This window comes from Homo sapiens, chromosome 6, assembly GCF_000001405.40.
Source record: "Homo sapiens chromosome 6, GRCh38.p14 Primary Assembly".
Classification (NCBI taxonomy): Eukaryota; Metazoa; Chordata; class Mammalia; order Primates; family Hominidae; genus Homo; species Homo sapiens.
In genome coordinates this window covers 30,746,687-30,765,762 of record NC_000006.12, presented here as the reverse complement: position 1 = coordinate 30,765,762, position 19,076 = coordinate 30,746,687, and the positions used below count along the sequence as shown (strand labels likewise).

At 46.7% G+C, this 19,076-nt stretch overlaps 1 pseudogene, besides 2 other annotated features; it reads right to left on the bottom strand.

Annotated features, from left to right (window-relative positions):
• Positions 1,208-1,995: an enhancer, noted in NCBI's record as "OCT4-NANOG-H3K27ac-H3K4me1 hESC enhancer chr6:30731545-30732332 (GRCh37/hg19 assembly coordinates)". NCBI's record gives its function as "activates a minimal SCP1, AML or CMV promoter by ChIP-STARR-seq in naive H9 embryonic stem cells {active_cell/tissue: H9 hESC(naive)}" and the evidence as "EXISTENCE:reporter gene assay evidence [ECO:0000049][PMID:30033119]".
• Positions 7,917-8,211: a silencer, noted in NCBI's record as "tiled region #12821; HepG2 Repressive non-DNase unmatched - State 6:EnhF, and K562 Repressive DNase matched - State 8:EnhW". NCBI's record gives its function as "represses a minimal TATA promoter and a strong SV40 promoter by Sharpr-MPRA in HepG2 and K562 cells {active_cell/tissue: HepG2 | K562}" and the evidence as "EXISTENCE:reporter gene assay evidence [ECO:0000049][PMID:27701403]".
• RN7SL353P (RNA, 7SL, cytoplasmic 353, pseudogene) lies at positions 14,474-14,725 on the bottom strand (annotated as a pseudogene).

Genomic DNA, 19,076 nt, shown 5'->3' with positions numbered 1-19,076 from the left:
TACTTTGTTTACCCTGTTGCTATGAGACCTGTCTCTCATCACCCCAGCCTACAACTCCCTTTCAGACCAGCCATCAGTTTGAATACATTTTCTAGCAAATGCCTCTCATTCTTCCTCCTCATTCCCATTGTCCCCATGTAATCACTGTTCAGGAAGTCAGGGACCCCAAACGGAGGGACCAGCTGAAGCCATGGCAGAAGAATGTGGATTGTGAAGATTTCATGGACATTTATTAGTTCCCCAAATTAATACTTTTATAATTTCTTATGCCTGTCTTTACTGCAATCTCTAAACATAAATTGTGAAGATTTCATGGACACTTATCACTTCCCCAGTCAATACCCTTGTGATTTCCTATGACTGTCTTTACTTTAATCTCTTAATCCTGTCATCTCGTAAGCCAAGGAGGATGTATGTCGCCTCAGGACCCTGTGATAATTGCATTAACTGCACAAATTGTAGAGCATATGTGTTTGAACAATATGAAATCTGGGCACCTTGAAAAAAGAGCAGGATAACAGCAATGTTTAGGGAACAAGAGAGATAACCTTAAACTCTGACCGCCGGTGAGCTGGGCGGAACAGAGCCATATTTCTCTTCTTTCAAAAGCAAATGGGAGAAATATTGCTGAATTCTTTTTCTCAGCAAGGAACATCCCTGGGAAAGAGAATACACGCCTGGGGGTGGGTCTCTGAACTGGCCCCCCTGGGCGTGGCCATCTTCTATGGTCGAGGCTGTAGGGGTGAAATAGACCCCAGTGTCCCATAGCGCTCCCAGGCTTATTAGGAAGAGGAAATTCCTGCCTAATAAATTTTGGTCAGACCAGTTTCTCTCAAAACCCTGTCTCCTGATAAAATGTTATCAATGACAATTGTGCCAGAAACTTCATTAGCAATTTTAATCTCGCCCCGGTCCTGTGGTCCTGTGATCCCGCCCTGCCTCCATTTGCCTTTCGATATTCTATTACCTTGTGAAGTACTTGATGTCTGTGACCCACACCTATTCACACACTCCCTCCCCTTTTGAAAATCCCTAATAAAAACTTGCTGGTTTTGCGGCTTGCGGGGCATCACGGAACCTACCAACATGTGATGTCTCCCCCGGATGCCCAGCTTTAAAATTTCTCTCTTTTGTACTCTGTCCCTTTATTTCTCAAACTGGCCGATGCTTAGGAAAATAGAAAAGAACCTACGTGACTAATGGGGCAGGTTCCCCGATAATCACCTCACACCTGGCTTATGAAATAATTCTCCTTTCCAACCTCCCTGCTGCTTCCTGTTTTTCCTCCTGCCTCCAATCTGTCTAGCACTTAAGTGTGAGATTAACATTTCTGAAATGCCTCTGATCATGTAGCTCCCCTGCTGGAAAGTTCAGTGCCTCCGGTGTCTAGTGGCAGCAGATAAAGATTCTTTTGTCTGCTTTCCTGGTCCCTCACTGAGCTCTGGCTTCCACCTTGTTTATTTAACCTCATTTGTCAGTATTTTTAATTTTCTATTCCAGTCAGCTCCCCCAGAGTTCCACAAACTATGCTCATTCCCATCACACCAACACCAGTTCTCCCTCTCCCCTACATGTTCTCGAATCCCACCTGGCTTCTCAGCTGCCCCCCGGCCCCTGTCCTCCCCTTCTCAGCCCCCAGCAGGGCACATGGCTGCCTGCAGGAAGCAACAGGGCTCTAAGCCTCCCTGGCAGCCAGATGTGGCAGAGAGACTTCCTTCCAACCTATTTGAAATGAGCAGAAATGTTACGGGTTACTTCTGTCTGTGGACCTACTAGGATGGGGTGTGTATTTCTTTGTCCTTCTCTTTCCCCTTGGCCTGAACATGGAGCCTGAGCAGTCATCCTAAATCACAAAGAGCCATGCATCAAAGACAGTGAGGCAGCAAGGCGGAGCTGTCCCAGCCCCGAGCTGCCTGCCTGGCTCTGGACTTTGTTTCTGTCAGAGAGAAATGGACTTCCATCTAGGAAGCCATTGTTCTATTCGGTTTTTGTCACTCACAGGTCAACCTAATGCTAACTTGGTTCTTCTCACAACTTGTGAAGGAAAGAAAGGAGCAGATGTGGCAGTGGCCTGTAAATGTTTAACTCTCAGAGGCAGTGGAGGGCTGGGGGTAGGTGAAAGTTCTGACTTGCAACATTTCCGATTTCTGTGGTGTAAATACTTCCATCAAGGTGTTGGGGCTCAGAAAATGATACCCCAGAGTTTGGTGTTTTGGCAAGTTGAGAAGAACATGGGAAGGACCTGAGAAGTAAAGTCTGCCTCTGACCTTCTCCTGCTCCCCTCTCTCCTCCAAGGCAGGTCAAAGAAACCAGAATGTCTTTCCCCCAAAGCCAATCATAAAACTTAGAACTATTACTCTAGCCTTCCTTTGCCTTTCTGTATAAGCACAGCTCATTAAAAAAAAAAAAAAAAACTGAGCTACCTTTTCTAATAGTAGGTCATAAAACCCTTATTTTGGAGAGTCCCTGCCTATATCCAGAAGGAAGGAATGCTGCACAGAGAGACCAAGCAGAATCCCAACAGACAGGCTCTGCTGGCTTTCTCCCTCAGCCTATTCCCATGCGACCATTCACTTTGTGTTCAATCACATTTCTTTTCTTTTCTTTTTTTTTTTTTTGAGATGGAGTTTCGCTCTTGTTGCCCAGGCTGGAGTGCAATGGCACTATCTTGGCTCACTGCAACCTCCTCCTCCTGGGTTCAAGCGATTCTCCTGCCTCAGCCTCCCAAGTAGCTGGGATTACAGGCACGCACCACCATGCCCAGCTAATTTTGTATTTTTAGTAGAGATGGGGTTTCTCCATGTTGGTCAGGCTGGTCTTGAACTCCCGACCTCAGGTGATCCGCCCGCCTTGGCCTCCCTAAGTGCTAGGATTACAGGCATAAGCCACCGTGCCCAGCCTGTGTTCAGTCACATTTCTACATGACTGTCTGTTCTTTTTTTTTTTTTTTTCTGAGACAGAGTTTCATTCTGTGGCCTAGGCTGGAGTGCAGTGGCACGATCTCAACTCACTGCAACTTCTGTCTCCCAGGTTCAAGTGATTCTCCTGCCTCAGCCTCCTGAGTAGCTGGGATTACAGGCACACACCACCACGCCCGGCTAATTTTTGTATTTTTAGTACAGACGGGGTTTCATTATATTGGCCAGGCTGGTCTCAAACTCCTGGCCTCATGTGATCCTCCCACCTCAGCCTCCCAAAGTACTGGGATTACAGGTGTGAGCCACTGCACCCAGCCTTGGCTGTCCATTCTTCATCGAAACTAATCAAAAAAATTGTTTTCTCTGAGCATTTCTGGGGTCTTCATTTCTGAAGGCTCCCATGTCATGTAAAACTTTGATGAAATAAATTTGTTGGTCGGGCACAGGGGCTCACACCTGTAATCCCAGCACTTTGGGAAGATGAGACAAGCAGATGGTTTGAGCCCAGGAGTTCGAGGCCAGCCTGAGTAACATGGTGAAACCCCATCTCTACAAAAAATTACCTGTGTGTGGTGGTCTGCACCTGTAGTTCCAGCTACTCTGTAGGCTGAGTCAGGAGGATTGCTTGAGCCCAGGAGGTTAAGGCTATGGTGAGCCATGATCATGCCACTTCACTACAGCCTGGGCAAGAGTGAAACTCCGTTTCTAAAAATAGATACATAAAATAAAATAAATTTGTTATGCTTTTGTTTTGTTCGCCTGTCTTTTGTTATGGGAGTATTGGTCATGACTCAGGATGGGTGCAGAAAGCAATCACATCTTTCTGTCTCTACAAAGGCCAACTTCAAGCTACCAATGTTATGCCAGTTGGCTCATAAAGTTCCTGAAACTATAATGATTCTTCTCATGAACTGGTGTGAGCTGGCTTCAGCACAACAGTGGGTGAATGGGAAGGGGTGAAATGGGACTGACATTTAATGAACCTTGCTACATGCCAAGTAAGGTAATAGGCATTTTGCATATATTTTCTTTAATCCTTATATTTAACACTGAGGGGTAAGTAGGGCCAAACTTTCCCAACCATTAATCCTTTCTGGGAAAAATTCCAATACAGGTAGATTTATTTTTCTATATATTTTTCACAACCTTGGAAGATATGTTAGTCACCCCTGTTGTGGATAATTAGAAAAAGTAGAAAATGGAGGTAAGAGAAAATGCGAATGTGGTGGATATTTTCTGAGGTTTGACCATCCTGCATGCATTCTCTTCTCCTGAGAACAGTCACTGGATTCCTTGGAGAATTACCTGTGTGCATTCCTAATGAGCTATGGTTAAGGTGTGCTTTTTCCCCTAGCCTTTACCTAGACTAGGCTGATCAGATTCTCTCTGCTAGGGCTTTGAATGATGAACAAAATGGAAAGGATGGAAAAAACCCTTTGTCACTTACTCATTTCAGCAGGTAGCCAGGACAACACCGTCGATTCCTGCTACCTCATCCGCTGGAGCTACCCTGGTTCTTTGTCTCCTGAGCCTGATTCTCTGGCCTTCCTTTGATTCTGTGAGCTATTCAATATCCTCCCAAGACTCATCTATTCTGTTCAAGTTAAGGACAATCATTTTTGTGGCTTGAAGCCAAAGAAATTCAAATGCCAAGGAAGAAAAGTAGAAGCTCTTTAGAAAAGTTAAAGGAAACCGGCCAGGCGCGGTTGCTCACACCTGTAATCCCAGCACTTTGGGAGGCCAAGGTGGGCGGATCACCCGAGGTCGGGAGTTCAAGACCAGCCTAACCAACATGGAGAAACCCCATCTCTAATAAAAATACAGAATTAGCCGGGCATGGTGGCACACACTGTAATCCCAGCTACTTGGGAGGCTGAGGCAGGAGAATCGCTTGAACCTGGGAGGCGGAGGTTGCGGTGAGCCGAAATCAAGCCATTGCACTCCAGCCTGGGCAACAAGAGCGAAACTCCCTCTCAAAAAAAAAAAGAGAAAAGAAAAGTTAAAGGAAGCCAAGGCGAAGTGCACAGGGCTTTAGAAGAACATTTTAAAATTGCTCCTGGCAGGGAAGTGGTTATGATTATGTAAGGAGAACCTAGGCAAGACTGGTCAGACTGCAGGGTTGGATTTTTATGTGTTCTACACGGCAGGAATTTGGGGCAGAGCCGATGTTATATAAGCCTGAGTTGTAAGTTATTTGACGTATGTCATTGTATGCTCATCACAGGATTATTAAATAAAGGTAACTCAAACCATTTTGTATTAAGAGTATCCAAATTATTCTACATTTGTAGAATCACTATAAAATATGTGGGAGTTTGTTTTTTTAAAATGCGTTATTTTGGTGGAGGACTGGAGAGAAAACATGGATCACTAAGAACTCTTCATCAACATTTTATCTTTTAGAAAGTAAAATGAACTACTAGCAGTGGGCCCAGCGCAGTGGCTCCCGCCTGTAATCCCAGCACTTTGGGAAGCCGAGGAGGATTACTTGAGCCCAGGAGTTTGAGACCGGCCTGAACAACATAGCGAGGCCCTGTGTCTACAAATAGTCAAAAAATTAGCCAGATGTGGTGGCACACACCCATGGTCCCAACAAATCAGGAGGCTGAGGAGGGAGAACTGCTTGAGCTCTGGCAGTTGAGGCTGCACTGAGCCATGACTGCACCACTGCACTGAGCCATGATCACACGACTACACTGAGCCATGATCACACCACTGCACTGAGCCATGATCACACCACTGCACTGAGCCATGATCGCACCACTGCACTGAAACATGATCGCACAACTGCACTGAGACATAATTGCACCACTGCACTGAGCCATGATCGCACCACTGCACTGAGCCATGATCGCACCACTGCACTGAGCCATAATCGCACCACTGCACTGAGACATGATCGCACCACTGCACTGAGCCATGATAGTACCACTGCACCGAGCCATGATTACACCATGGCACTGCACTCCAGCCTGGGCCACAGAGTGAGACCATGTCTTAAAAAAAAAAAGCAAACAAAAACTACAAGCAATTGAGAGCCTGGGAAGTGTCTAGTAGGGAAACCAGGAATTGTATCTGTGTTTGTGTGACTACCCCACATTCCTGCTGGTTCTGCCTCAACAAAAGCTTTCCCCCATCACTCCATCCACAGTGATCTCACCCGGCTGCGAATGCCTAGAATGCTTGCTCTCTGTACCAACATTCCATTTGTTTGACATTCATCATGGGGATCTGCTGAGTCTTCATATGAGGAAAAGTACTTGTTAAGCTCTAAGATATCAAATAAATGTTAGTTAATTATGTTATTAGATAAGTAGGTAGATAGATAATAAATAGATGCACACACACATATAGCTACAGATACAGTTACAGTTTTGTATACTTATATTTATGTGCTGATCTCTTAATTTCCCTTAACTTGGTTATAAACCTCTTAAGACCCATATTTTATACACCTTTCTGCCTTCCACTGCTCTTAGTTGGAACACATTTGACAATCTACTGATGTTTTAAGTGTAGGAACTAGCCTCTACCAGCTGAAAAATCTGTGAACCATGGCCACTTATTTTCACCACTTTCCTGTGCCCTGGGAGGACTAGATGAGCTCATGGGTACAAAGTGCCATGAATCAGTTAGTTTCCTGTGGCCGAAGACAGAAGAACTCAGCAGTCTTAGTTCCCCCTTCAACTTCATGCCTTCCTTTCTGAAGAAGCATGGGTCATGTATGTGATCAGAAATGGGCTTCCATTTCTCAGTACAAGATTTCTGAAGAAGAAGTGGTTTCTGGACCTCTGAATGGGCAGTGTGCGATACAATCTAATGAGAGACAAGTGATCTTGACTCTTTTAAAAGTGTCAAAAGCAGATTAAAGCCATCAGCCTATACCAAGCATTTTCCCAATGCAGCATTTTCTCTTCCCCCACCCTATCTGTCATCTAGCCTAGTGCTGTCCAACAAATCTTTCTGTAATGATGGAAATGTTCTATTTCCGTGTTTTCAAATATGGTAATCACTGGCCACATGGGATTATCGTGCTCTTGAAATGTGGCTAATGAAACTGAGAAACTGAATTTTAAATTTTGACTCATTAGAATTTACATTCAAATAGCCACATGCAGCTGGGCGCAGTGGCTCACGCCTGTAATCCTAGCACTTTGGGAGGCCAAGGTGGGCAGATGACCTGATGTCAGGAGTTCGAGACCAGCCCGGCCAACATGGTGAAACCCCGTCTCCATTAAAAATACAAAAATGCTGGGCGCGGTGGCTCACGCCTGTAATCCCAGCACTTTGGGAGGCCAAGGCGGGCGGATCACGAGGTCAGGAGATCGAGACCATCCTGGCTAACAAGGAGAAACCCCGTCTCTACTAAAAATACAAAAAATTAGCTGAGTGTGGTGGCGGGAGCCTGTAGTCCCAGCTACTCAGGAGGCTGAGGCAGGAGAATGGTGTGAACCCGGGAGGCAGAGCCTGCAGTGAGCTGAGATCACGCCACTACACTCCAGCCTGGGTGACAGAGTGAGACTTTGACTCAAAATAAATAAATAAATAAATAATAAAAATACAAAAATTAGCTGGGCATAGTGGCACAAGCCTGTAATCCCAGCAACCTAGGAGGCTGAGGCAGGAGAACTGCTTGAACCTGGGAGGCAGAGGTTGCAGTGAGCCAAGATCATGCCACTACATTCCAGCCTGGGCGACAGAGTGAGACTCCATCTCAAAAAATAAAATAAAATAAATAGCCACATGCTACTGTATTAGACAGCATAGACCTAAATTAAGAGAATCTGGGCTTCTTTATTTATTCATTTATTTATTCATCATTCAGTCAAAACCATTGAGTACCTAGTATATATCAATCAGGCACACTGCTGAATACTGACAGTGGGTTCAGTGATTAGTCTCTCACCTGAAAAAGCCCAAAATCTGTTTGAGGAAACAAATGATCTTTGGGGATGGCCTCAAGACCTTAAAGTGTCTTCTGGTTACACCACCTTCTCTTGAGAAAAGTATTTGGGAGTAAGTCCTTGGGCATAGGTCACCCTGCAGATAATCTTCCGGCCCTGACCTCATCTACTAAATTAGGATCCTTGCTTGAGCTAGGGGCAGTTCTCAAGGGCTGGCAAGAGGCCAGTGATGCAGCCAGAGGTGAGAATACCCAAAAAGGTTACTGTATCCTGGGGAGTGTGTACACAACCCATTCAGAGTCTCAATTTAAGACATAAGCAAGGACATGAACATCAGAGCAGTGTAAAACCCCAAAGACAAAAAGAGCTAGGTCAGTGGGTTGAATAATAACATTAATAATGAGGATTGTTGAGAGGCAGGAAGGTGTTGAGGTCAATAGCTTTGTCTCTGGAGACAAACTTCCTGGATGCCAAACTCAACTCTGTCATTCCCCTGCTTCACAGAGTTCTGTGCTGTCACTGCACCTGTATAATGAGTGTTGTCATGCCCTCCTCTCAGAGGTGTACCATGAAAATTAAGTGAATTAAAACATACAGTTGTCCAGGCATGGTGTTTCATACCTGTAATCCCACCATTTTGGGAGGCTGAGGCAGGAAGATCATTTGAAGCCAAGAGTTTGAGACCAGCCTGGGCAACAAAGTGAGACCCTATCTCTACCAAAAAAAAAAAAAAATTTTTTTTAATTAGTTGGGCATGGTGGCACACGCCTGTAGTCCTAGAAACTCAGGAAGCTGAAGTGGCAGGATTGCTTGAGCCCAGGAGTTTGGGGCTATAGTGAGCTATGATGGCGCCACTGCACTACAGCCTGAGCTGTAGTGGAAGATCTTGACTCTAAAAACAAACAAGCCAGGCATGGTGGCTCATGCCTGTAATCCCAGCACTTTGGGAGGCCGAGGCAGGCAGATCACGAGGTCAGGAGTTCAAGACCAGTCTGGCCAACATAGTGAAACCCCATCTGTACTAAAAAAACAAAAATTAGCCAGGTATGGTGGCACATGCCTGTAATCCCAGCTAATCAGGAGGCTGAGGCAGGAGAATTGCTTGAACCTGGGAGGCAAAGGTTGCAGTGAGCCAAGACCATGCCATTGCACTCCAGCCTGGGCAACATAGTGAGACTCCATCTCAAAATCAAAAACAAAAAACAAACAAACAAACATGGAGTTGAACCCAGGTAGATGGGCTCTAGCATCTATGCTCTGACAAATAGGTATGCCACTAGGCTTTGGAATGAAATAGACCTAGGTTCACATCTAACTCCCATTACTTCTTGGTTACACAACCTTAAGAAAGTGAATTGCCTCATTGAACCTCATTTTTCTCATCTGTAAAATGGGTGTATAGATAAAATAACAGTTGGGGTTATGAAGGCTTAATGAATTGATTTGAGTATAGCTCTTAAAACAGTGCCTATGCCGGGCGTGGTGGCTCACGCCTGTAATCCTAGCACTTTGGGAGGCCGAGGTGGGCAGATCACGAGATCAGGAGATCGAGACCATCTTGGCTAACACGGGGAAACCCCATCTCTACTAAAAATACGAAAAATTAGCCAGGAGTGGTGGTGAGCGCCTGTAGTCCCAGCTACTCGGGAGACTGAGGGAGAGAATGGCATGAACCCGGGAGTTGGAGCTTGCAGTGAGCCAAGATCGCGCCACTGCACTCCAGCCTGGGCTACAGACAGAGCAAGACTCCATCTCAAACAAACAAACAAACAAAAAAAAACACACAGTGCCTCTGAGGCATCATACATGCTCAGGTGTGTGGGCTAGTGTCACTTCACACTACCCCACAAGACCTGGGCAGAGCCAGTCACTGCAGACAGAGATGCTGAGCCACAAGGAGTCTGGGCAGGGAGGCAGGGTGTGCTCCTGGGGCTGCCGCTGGGCACTGGAAGCCACTGTGGCTTCTGGAAGACATGCTGGTTCTTCAAGGGGCAGGTTACTGGCCACTGAGGTGGCTCTATTCCAGCCCATCTCTGTCCCTTGAGGTAATCTGAGTGGCAACCTGTTCTATAACAAAAAAAACACTTAGTTTTGGCATATTTTAAGCAAGAATTTACAAGAGGAACATTTTGATGCAGCTTCCTTAAAACAGTTCTGTCAGTATGAACCACTTTGGAAAATAGCATAGCAAATTCTTTTTTTTCTTTTTTTTTTTTTTGAGACGGAGTCTCGCCAGGCTGGAGTGCAGTGGTGCAATCTTGGCTCACTGTGCAATCTCCGACTCCCTGGTTCAAGCGATTCTCCTGGCTCAGCCTCCTGAGTAGCTGGGATTACAGGCACGCACCACCACGCTCAGCTAATTTTTGAATTTTTAGTAGAAACGGGGTTTCACCATGTTAGCCAGGCTGGTCTCGATCTTCTGACCTCATGAACTGCCCGCCTCAGCTTCCCAAAGTGCTGGGATTACAGGCATGAGCCACCGAGCCCAGCCCTTATTTTTTCTTTTTTTAGAATGGGGTCTCGCTCTGTCTCCCAGGCTGGAGTGCAGTGGTGTGAATGTGACTTACCACAGCCTCGACCCCTGGATTCAAGTGATCCTTCGACCTGAGCCTCCCAGAGTAGCTGGGACCACAGGCGCGCACCACAACACCTGGCTAATTTTTTAATTTTGTAGAGACGAGGTCTCTCCATGCTGCCCAGGCTGATCTCAAACTCCTGGGCTCAAGAAATCCTTCTGCCTTTAGGCTGGGCATGGTGGCACACACCTGTAATCCCAGCACTTTGGGAGACCAAGGTGGGCTGATCACTTGAGGTCAGGAGTTTGAGACCAGCCTGATCAACATGGTGAAACCTGTCTCTACTAAAAATACAAAAATTAGCTGGGCGTCGTGGTGCAAGTGCTGGGATCACAGGTGTGAGCCACTGGGCACAGCAGCGATTTCTTACTAAGCTAAACATGCACCTAGTTATACTACTCCTAGACATCTGCTCAAGAGAAATAAGAATACATGTCTTAAAAAAGAGTTGTCTATGAATGTTCATAGTAGCTTTATTCATCATTTCCAAAAATAAGAAAAAAACCACAATGTCCATCAATGGTGAATTAATAAGCCAACTGTCATATATTTATACAATGGAATGCTATGCAGAAGTCAAAAGGAAAGAACTACTGAATCATGCCATGACATGGATGAATCACAAAAATATTATACTGAGCAAAAGAATCTGGACACAAAAGAGTGTCTACTGTAGTTTCGTTCTTTCTTTCTTTCTTTTTTTTTTTGAGACGGAGTTTTGCTCTTGTTGCCCAGGCTGAAGTGAAATGGCGTGATCTCAGCTCACTGCAACCTCTGCCTCCTGGGGTCAAGTGATTCTCCTGCCTCAACCTCCCAAGTAGCTGGGATTATAGCCACCTGCCACCACACCTGGCTAATTTTTAGTAGAGACGGGGTTTCACCATGTTGGTCAGGCTGGTCTTGAACTCCTGACCTCAGATGATCCTCCCGCCTCGGCCTCCCAAAGTGCTGGGATTACAGGCATGAGCCACCTTGCCCAGCCTGTAGTTTCATCTATATGACATTCTAGAACAGGCAAAACTGTAAGGTTAGAAGTCTGATCAGTGGTTGCTATAGGGGATGGGGACAGGACTGACTACAAAGGGATGCAGGGAACTTTTGGGGGTGATGGAAAACTCTATATCATCATGGTGGAGGCCTTTACACAAACTATATGCATTTATCAAAACTCATCAAAAACTACTCCTAAGAAGGATGAATTTTACTGTATTTAAATTATACTTCAATCTACCTGACTTTTTAAAACAAAATGCAGTATCACCAAATACTACCAAATTTTATGTGAAAGGCTCAGGGTCAGAGATAGGATGAGTTCAACCCACAGGGATAGGTTGAGAATATCTGGTTTATACATTTCTTACTGATTTTTTTTTTTTTTGAGAAGTCTTGCTCTTGTCCCCCAGGCTGGAGTGCGATAGCGTGATCTCGGCTCACTGCAACCTCTGCCTCCCGGGTTCAAGCGATTCTCCTGCCTTAGCCTTCCAAGTAGCTGGGATTACAGGCGCCTGCCACCACGCCAGGCTAATTTTTGTATTTTTAGTAGAGACGGGGTTTCACCATGTTGGCCAGGCTGGTCTCGAACTCCTGACCTCAGGTGATTTGCCCACCTCGGCCTCCCAAAGTGCTGGGATTACAGGAATGAGACACCGTGCCTGGCCACTGATTTTTTTTTTAATGGTGACAATTTAATAATAATTTTAGGCCTTGTCAAGAGGTTACCAGTATTAAGACGGCTGCATCTCAATGGCACGTGCCTCTCCTGGCAATCAAAAAGATAGACAAATGACTATAATATCGTGTGTGTGATGCTTTGAGAGATTTGTATACAATGTAGATGAACTAATTCTGGATGGCAGGTTCAGGAGTGGTTTTTTCCCAGGAGAATAGGGAGGAAAAAGGAAAAGAAATAGAACGGTTATAGGGTCCAATGGGTAAGAGTTTGGCATGTGTGAGAAAAAGGACAAAATTAGAGATGCACAACATCAAGAAGCAATGGGGGTGTTGAAAGAGAAAGCCTGCAAGGTGCCTGGATTTGGGTTGGGAACTCAGAGAGTTTGGAGCCACTGAACTTACTGAAGCAGGCATGGACATGGTCAAGTCTGTCTTTGAACAAGAAAGCCCTGGGGGGTATAGGAGGTGAACCGGAGGAACAATAGTTAGGAAGGTTCTTTATGGCCCATGATTGTCCCATTTTCACTAAAATAAAATGTGCCTTTTTGGTAGTGAACTGTTCTGAATGCCAAAAGTACTAGGTAAGTTGGTCCCAACTGGAATATTGCAGCCCTGAGGGTGGCTCGGCTGCCCAGTCATTTGGTACCCCCTTTTTCTTTCCTGAACCAGAGAATCTCAGCTCTCAAGAAATCTATTAATTCAGGCTCCCAGGGTCAGCACCACTTGGTCTGTGTCAGAGACACAGCAGTCACACGCACAAACCCAAATGGTCATGGCTGACAGTGGAGGCCTCAGCAGGGCCAAGGAACACAGAGATTTGCAACCTCCCCTTGTGTGCAATTCCCCTTCTATGGTAGGTGGGATTCCCAACCTGGGGAAAGAAATGACCAAGTGTCTGGGAAGGGAAAGTGTCATAAAAGAGCCAGGGCCCAGGAGCTAGGATGACGGTGGCCTGAGGCCCAGACACTCTAGGGAATCCGTGAGACGTGGAGAGAAAACATGAGGGAAAGCAGAGCTACTGTCTGGCCGGCCCAGCTTCCTCTTTTATGAGCTCATGGGCAAAGCCAGGCCAGGCAGAGGGTGCTAGAGATTGAGTGAGCTTGTTTTTTCCCTAACTTGGTTCTGAGTCACACATGGCATCTATCCTTCCCAGAAAACCGCCTCAGGGCTCACCCCTTGGCAGCCCACCAAACCCCAGTACTGACACGCGATCCCCACTGGGTAGGGCCAGGGAGCTGCAGACAGGCCAGCCCCAGCACCCGCCTCCGCCCCTGGAGAGGCCTCTTGGGGAATGAACTGTCCCTCCCAACCTTGGAAGAAAAGAGCCTATGGCAACTGCTTTGGAGGGTAGGCTGGAGGCACGTCCAACTTTTGAGCACACATGGGAGACGCTGCTGAATCATGGGGTTTCAGAGGAGGAGAAACATTAGAGAGCCTTTAATTTATGCCTTTCACTTTGTAGATCAACTCATCCAGTAAATACGGGGTGTCTGAAAAGTCTGGACAAAAGGGGAAATATTTTATTTGTTGTGCATTTTTCCCCTATGATTATGTTTTGACTTCAATCTCCATCAAATTCTCCAATGGCTGACATTGGAGCTGTCTACAGAGAGATGCAGGCTGCTTCCCACGGGAACAGCACTGTAACAGTAATGACATCAACGATCCTGTATTTCTAGCCTTTTCAGCAGCCTGTATTGATTGACAGGCACAGTTCTAGGCACTGAAAATAGAGCAGTACACAAGATAGATAAAGTCCTACTCTGGTGGAGTTATAATCTGGTGGGAAAGAAACCAAGACCAAAGGAGGAGCCACAACACTGGGGTCCTAAGAAGCCGGCTTTGGCAGAAGGACAGGAATGCTGGGCCCTTTCCCAGCTCCCGGCTCAGCTCATAGCAGCCTCCAGGGTAGCTGGGTTGAGTTGGGCTGGGTCAGGCTGAGCTGCATCCCAGGGTAGGGTCATCGTGCCACTTTTGTGACCTTGCCTTGGTGCTCCCGGAACTCTTGCCATGGTTTTGCGTCAGGGGAACTGCCAGGGCCTGATTTTGGGCCTCCTAGAGCCTAGATGAATATCTTTAGGGGTCATTTGTTAACTTGCTGCCTAGAACTCACCACCCCACTCTACCCCCATGCCTCTGGAGAATTGTTCCAGCTAAAATGTAGGTGGGAGGGGATGTTTAAAATCACCTGTTCCTTGTCAGTATAGTGGTGAGTAAAAACAAATTTTTTTTTTTGCTGGGTGTGGTGGCTCACGCCCGTAATCCCAGCACTTTGGGAGGCCGAGGGGGCGGATCACGTGAGGTCAGGAGTTTTCCAGACCAGCCTGGCCAACATGGTGAAACCTTATCTCTACCAAAAATACAAAAATTAGCCGGGCATGGTGGCATGCGCTACTCGGGAGGCTGAAGCAGGAGAATCGCCTGAACCCGGGAGGCAGAGGTTGCAGTGAGCCGAGATTGTGCCACTGCACTCCAGCCTGGACGACAGAGTAAGACTTTCTTTTTTTTTAAGACGGAGTTTCACTCTCGTCGCCCAGGCTGGAGTGCAGTGGTGCAATCTCAGCTCACTGCAACCTCTGCCTCCCTGGTTCAGGCAATTCTCCTGCTTCAGCCTCCCGAGTAGCTGGGATTACAGGCACACGCCACCACGCCCAGCTAATTTTTGTATTTTTGGTAGAGACGGGGTTTTGCCATGTTGGCCAGGCTGGTCTCGAACTCCTGACCTCGTGATCCACCCACCTCAACCTCCCAAAGTGCTGGGATTATGGGCGTGAGCCACCACGCCCAGCCAAACTAAATTTTTTAAATAAATAAAGGCCAGACTTTGTGGCTCACGCCTGTAATCCCAACACTTTGGGAGGTTGAGGCGGGAGGATCGCTTGAGCCCAGAATTTTGAGACCTGCCTGGGCAACATGGCAAGACCCTGTCTCTACCAAAATAAATAAAAATTAGCTGGGCATGGTGGCACGTTCCTGGAGTCCCAGCTACTCAAGAGGCTGAGGTGGGAGGATCACTTGAGCCCAGGAGGTTGAGGTTGCAGTGAGCCATGTTTATGCCACTGCACTCCAGCCTGGGTGAGAGAGTGAGATCTTGTCTCAAAAAATAAATAAATACATACATAAAAAAATAAAATCACTCACATTAGTTGAACAGGAACTAGGAATGCAGAAGTCTTTGCTTCTCTGGAAAATAAAGAGCCACAAAACCTGCCTGATATGGAGAGGGAGGGAGGGCAGAGTAAAAAGAGAAAGAACTTGTATCTCCTGGTGATGTTAGCAGTTAGAGGTTATTTTCTCATTCCAGTTCCCTACTCCTGGGTTGGCTCACTGCTGCCCATCCCTGTTCCAAAGCAGTCCCTCTTCTCATAATTATAATAATGCCCCTGCTCCATGCAAGAAGCACCTACTATGTGCCCAGAAGGAGTAAATTTATATTCTTAACCTTTGCAGTTACCTAGAGGTCAATTTGCCCATTTATCAATTGAGGAAACAGATTTTCAGCAACATTAAGTAACTGGCCCAATATTGCCTAGTTAATAAGTAGCAGAGCTGGCACTTAAACCCAATTTCGTCTAACACCACTAGATTACAATATGTTCTTTTTGCTATTCCGTGTTTCCTTTCTATCTCAAACCCATCTCAAGTCACCAAGTAGTTATTGAGGATCTACTGAATACCAGGTGCAGCTAAAAAGCTTTCACTTTGTCATTCCCTACCCCCAGGACCCTGGTGCAGTCCCTTCACCCTGCTTTCCTTTCTCAGATGCTCCCATTTCCAAATCTCTGCCTCCCTTTCCCCTGCCCATTCTGCCTCCGCCAGTGCCCATTCTTGCCGTCCCCCGTTCTGGGCCTGTGGTCAGCAGTGCAGCAGTACCCAGGTGAGGCAGCAGGCCTGACTCACTCCTATGTCAGGGATTGTAAAGGGCGCGGGCCAGGGCTTTGCTGTCGCTGTCGTCACTGCACAATTGTTCCTGATTCAGCGGCGGATCACCTGAGCCACACCTGAGTGCCCCCAACCTCCTCTTTGAAGAGCAAACATGGGGGCCTCTAAAGGAACATGGCTAGATAAACAGACCTCTCTGCAGATGAGGTTTAGCTCCTCGGAGGAGACAGATTTAAGAATATTTATTAAGTTCCTACTAGGTGACAGCCAAGTACTGGAGATACTACAGAGATCTAATGAGAAAAAGGTCAGATGTGGCCCTGTACACTCGTGGAGATTATATTCCAGTAGGCGGGACAAACAACAGCAAAAAGCAAATACATAAAATGATTCCCCAACGTGATATGTGTCATGAAGAAAAACAAGGGGCTGAGAAGGAGGCTAGCAGTGGTGATGGATCAAGGCAAAGGTCAAACGAGGGAAATGAAGGAACATGGTGATCTGGGGGAAGATGGGAAGGAAATGAGGAGGAGAGCTGGAAATGGAGGAGGCTAAGGGCCTGTTTCTCCAGTATCAGGGCAGTGGGAGCCAGTCCAGTTGCTCGTCTCAGCCCCTGGCACTTTCTGGCCTTAACTCATTCCCCAGCCTGCACTCCCCCACCCCCTTATTGGCTTAATGATTCACCCCCAACATTTCCCTAGCTTCCTGTGTGGCAGGAAGGAGCAGGAGCAGAGCCCTAGGGCTCTGAGGGTAGCAGGAATGGGGATGGGATTGGTTGGGAATGGTGAGCAGTCCGGGTTCTCAGGTCTTCTCTTTGTCCCATTCTGGTCTTGCCACAAAGAAAGGTCTCTCTGTGCCGGGAGGACAGCGAGGATAACTAGACCCAGCTGGAGGCCCAGATTCCAGATGTGGGAGGTAGTGGCAAAACAAGATCCTGGCATCCCCTTCATTTCCCCTCCTCTGCCTAATGCCCTAGAGAAATTTTCCATCATAAACAAGTAATGCATTCCTAACCTTTGGTGCTTCTCTCTCTCTCCCACCCACTAGTTTTCTTCCATCATCACTATCTCCCCCTACTCCCAATTTATGTTTATGTGAGTGTGAGGGTCTGTCCACATGTGTAAGTAGTCATGGGTTTATGTTGGTCATTGTGTAGCGTGCGAGTTGCCTTGGAATAAGGATGTTGGGGGTGGTGGGCTCCCTGTGCTTGGGTGTAAATGTAAGAATGATGGCAGGTGTGAAGACAGGCGTGGGAAAGCAATGCGCCTTTGTTTACAGAGGAGGTGTGTTTTATGCCAGCCAGGAAGAAGTGTGTAATGTGGAAGGGATCTTGTGTATTTAGATAAGAGTAGTGAGTATAAAATAAAGTGACTTGTAGGCCCAGGAATTGTACACAGAGCAGTAGTGTATTTCTAGCCGGTTGTGGCCTGTCCTCTTATTTGTGTTCCTACATGTTCTTGATTGAAAAATCCTTTTAAGTGTTTCCTAAGTGGGAGGGGAGAAAAGTGTTTCCTGTTTGGTGTCTGTGTAAGAATTGTCCCAGCTTTTCTAAAGATGTTGTACATTTGTATGAGTGGTTTGGAGGAGTGTAGCCACATCTCAGAAGCTTGGTGTGACCCAGCCAAGGTGGGAATACTACATGCACACTTACAGTTGTACATTTCACCTGGCATTTAACAAGATTATTGAGCAACTGCTGCCTACAAGGTACCATGCTGGGTTCTCTGGAGGACACAAAGATGTGTATGACACAGCCTCCAGTGGAAGAGATCATATATGTATTCACTTTGTGCACCAGGCTTAAAATGATGGTAGAAAGATCTGAGCCAGATGTATTTCAAATCTCTGGAGTCATCTCAGATCTTTTCATCCTCTTGCTGTCGGCAACTCTCCCTCTCCCATGCTCCCTTCCCCTAATGATATCCATCTCATTGCCCAATTCTGATTATCTTATGCTAGGAATGTCTCTTAGGGCCACCTTCTCAGGCTCTTGTTATCATCTACCTGAGCCCCTCCAATAGCCTCCTGTCTACTGCCTTAGTCTCTACCCGTCCAGAGCATCACTCCTCATCCCAATCAGTTTCCTGCTTGAATTTTCCTCCCTTTATCTCATCCAGCAACCCACAAGCTCTACAGTCTAGAGTGAAACCCAGGCTCCTGACCTGGCAGCTCTGCTCTCCCCACTCTGCCCAATTCCACTCCTTTCCAGCCATTATTACTTCCCACTACTCCGTTACAGGAAACTTACTCTGAGATTGTTTTTCTTGTGATTCCCCAAACACATCCTGTACTTTTCCAGCTCAAGGTCTTTGCTAATTCCATTCTTACAGTCATCCTCCACATCTGAATTTGTCATATCCCACCCACTGTTCAAGGTCACCTTCAGTGCCACTCTTCCATGAAGCCTCCCCTGATTGATTGGACAGATGTGAACACTAGCTCTTTTGGGTCCCCCCCTTAACACTTAGTCTTCAGTTTTCTTAGGTTTTTTTGTTTTTGTTTTTGTTTTTTGTTTTGTTCTTGTTTTTTTGAGACAGGGTCTCACTCTGTCACCCAGGCTGGAGTGCAGTGGCACGCTCTCAGCTTGCTGCAACCTCTGCCTCCTGAGTTCAAGCGATTCTCCTGCCTCAGCCTCCCGAGTAGCTGGGATTACAGACATGCGCCACCATGCTTGGCTAATTTTTGTATTTTTAGTAGAAACAGGGTTTCACCATGTTGACCAGGCTGGTCTCGAACTCCTGACCTCAAATGATCCACCCGCCTCGGCCTGCCAAAGTGTTGGGATTACAGGTGTGAACCACCGTGCCTGGCCTTTCTTAGGATCTTCAAGAAAGCTTGCCTTTCCTTCAGGCAGAAACTCAATATAACAAAAAAAGAGAGAGAGAGAGAGCAACAGAGACAGACAGATAGAGAGCTCTCCTGGCCATGGTTCCCTCCTCATGCCGGAGGGTAAGGCCCTCATGGCTGGAGTATCAGCTTTATCTGGCTTTCCTCAGGCAGCTGCATGGCACAGCACTTATACTGAAACTAGCCTCAGGACTCTCAACAGTAGTACCCTCAACAGAGGGCGCCTGAAACAGGTGAATGCTCAAAAGATGTTAAATTCTGCACGGTGGCTGCCAGCA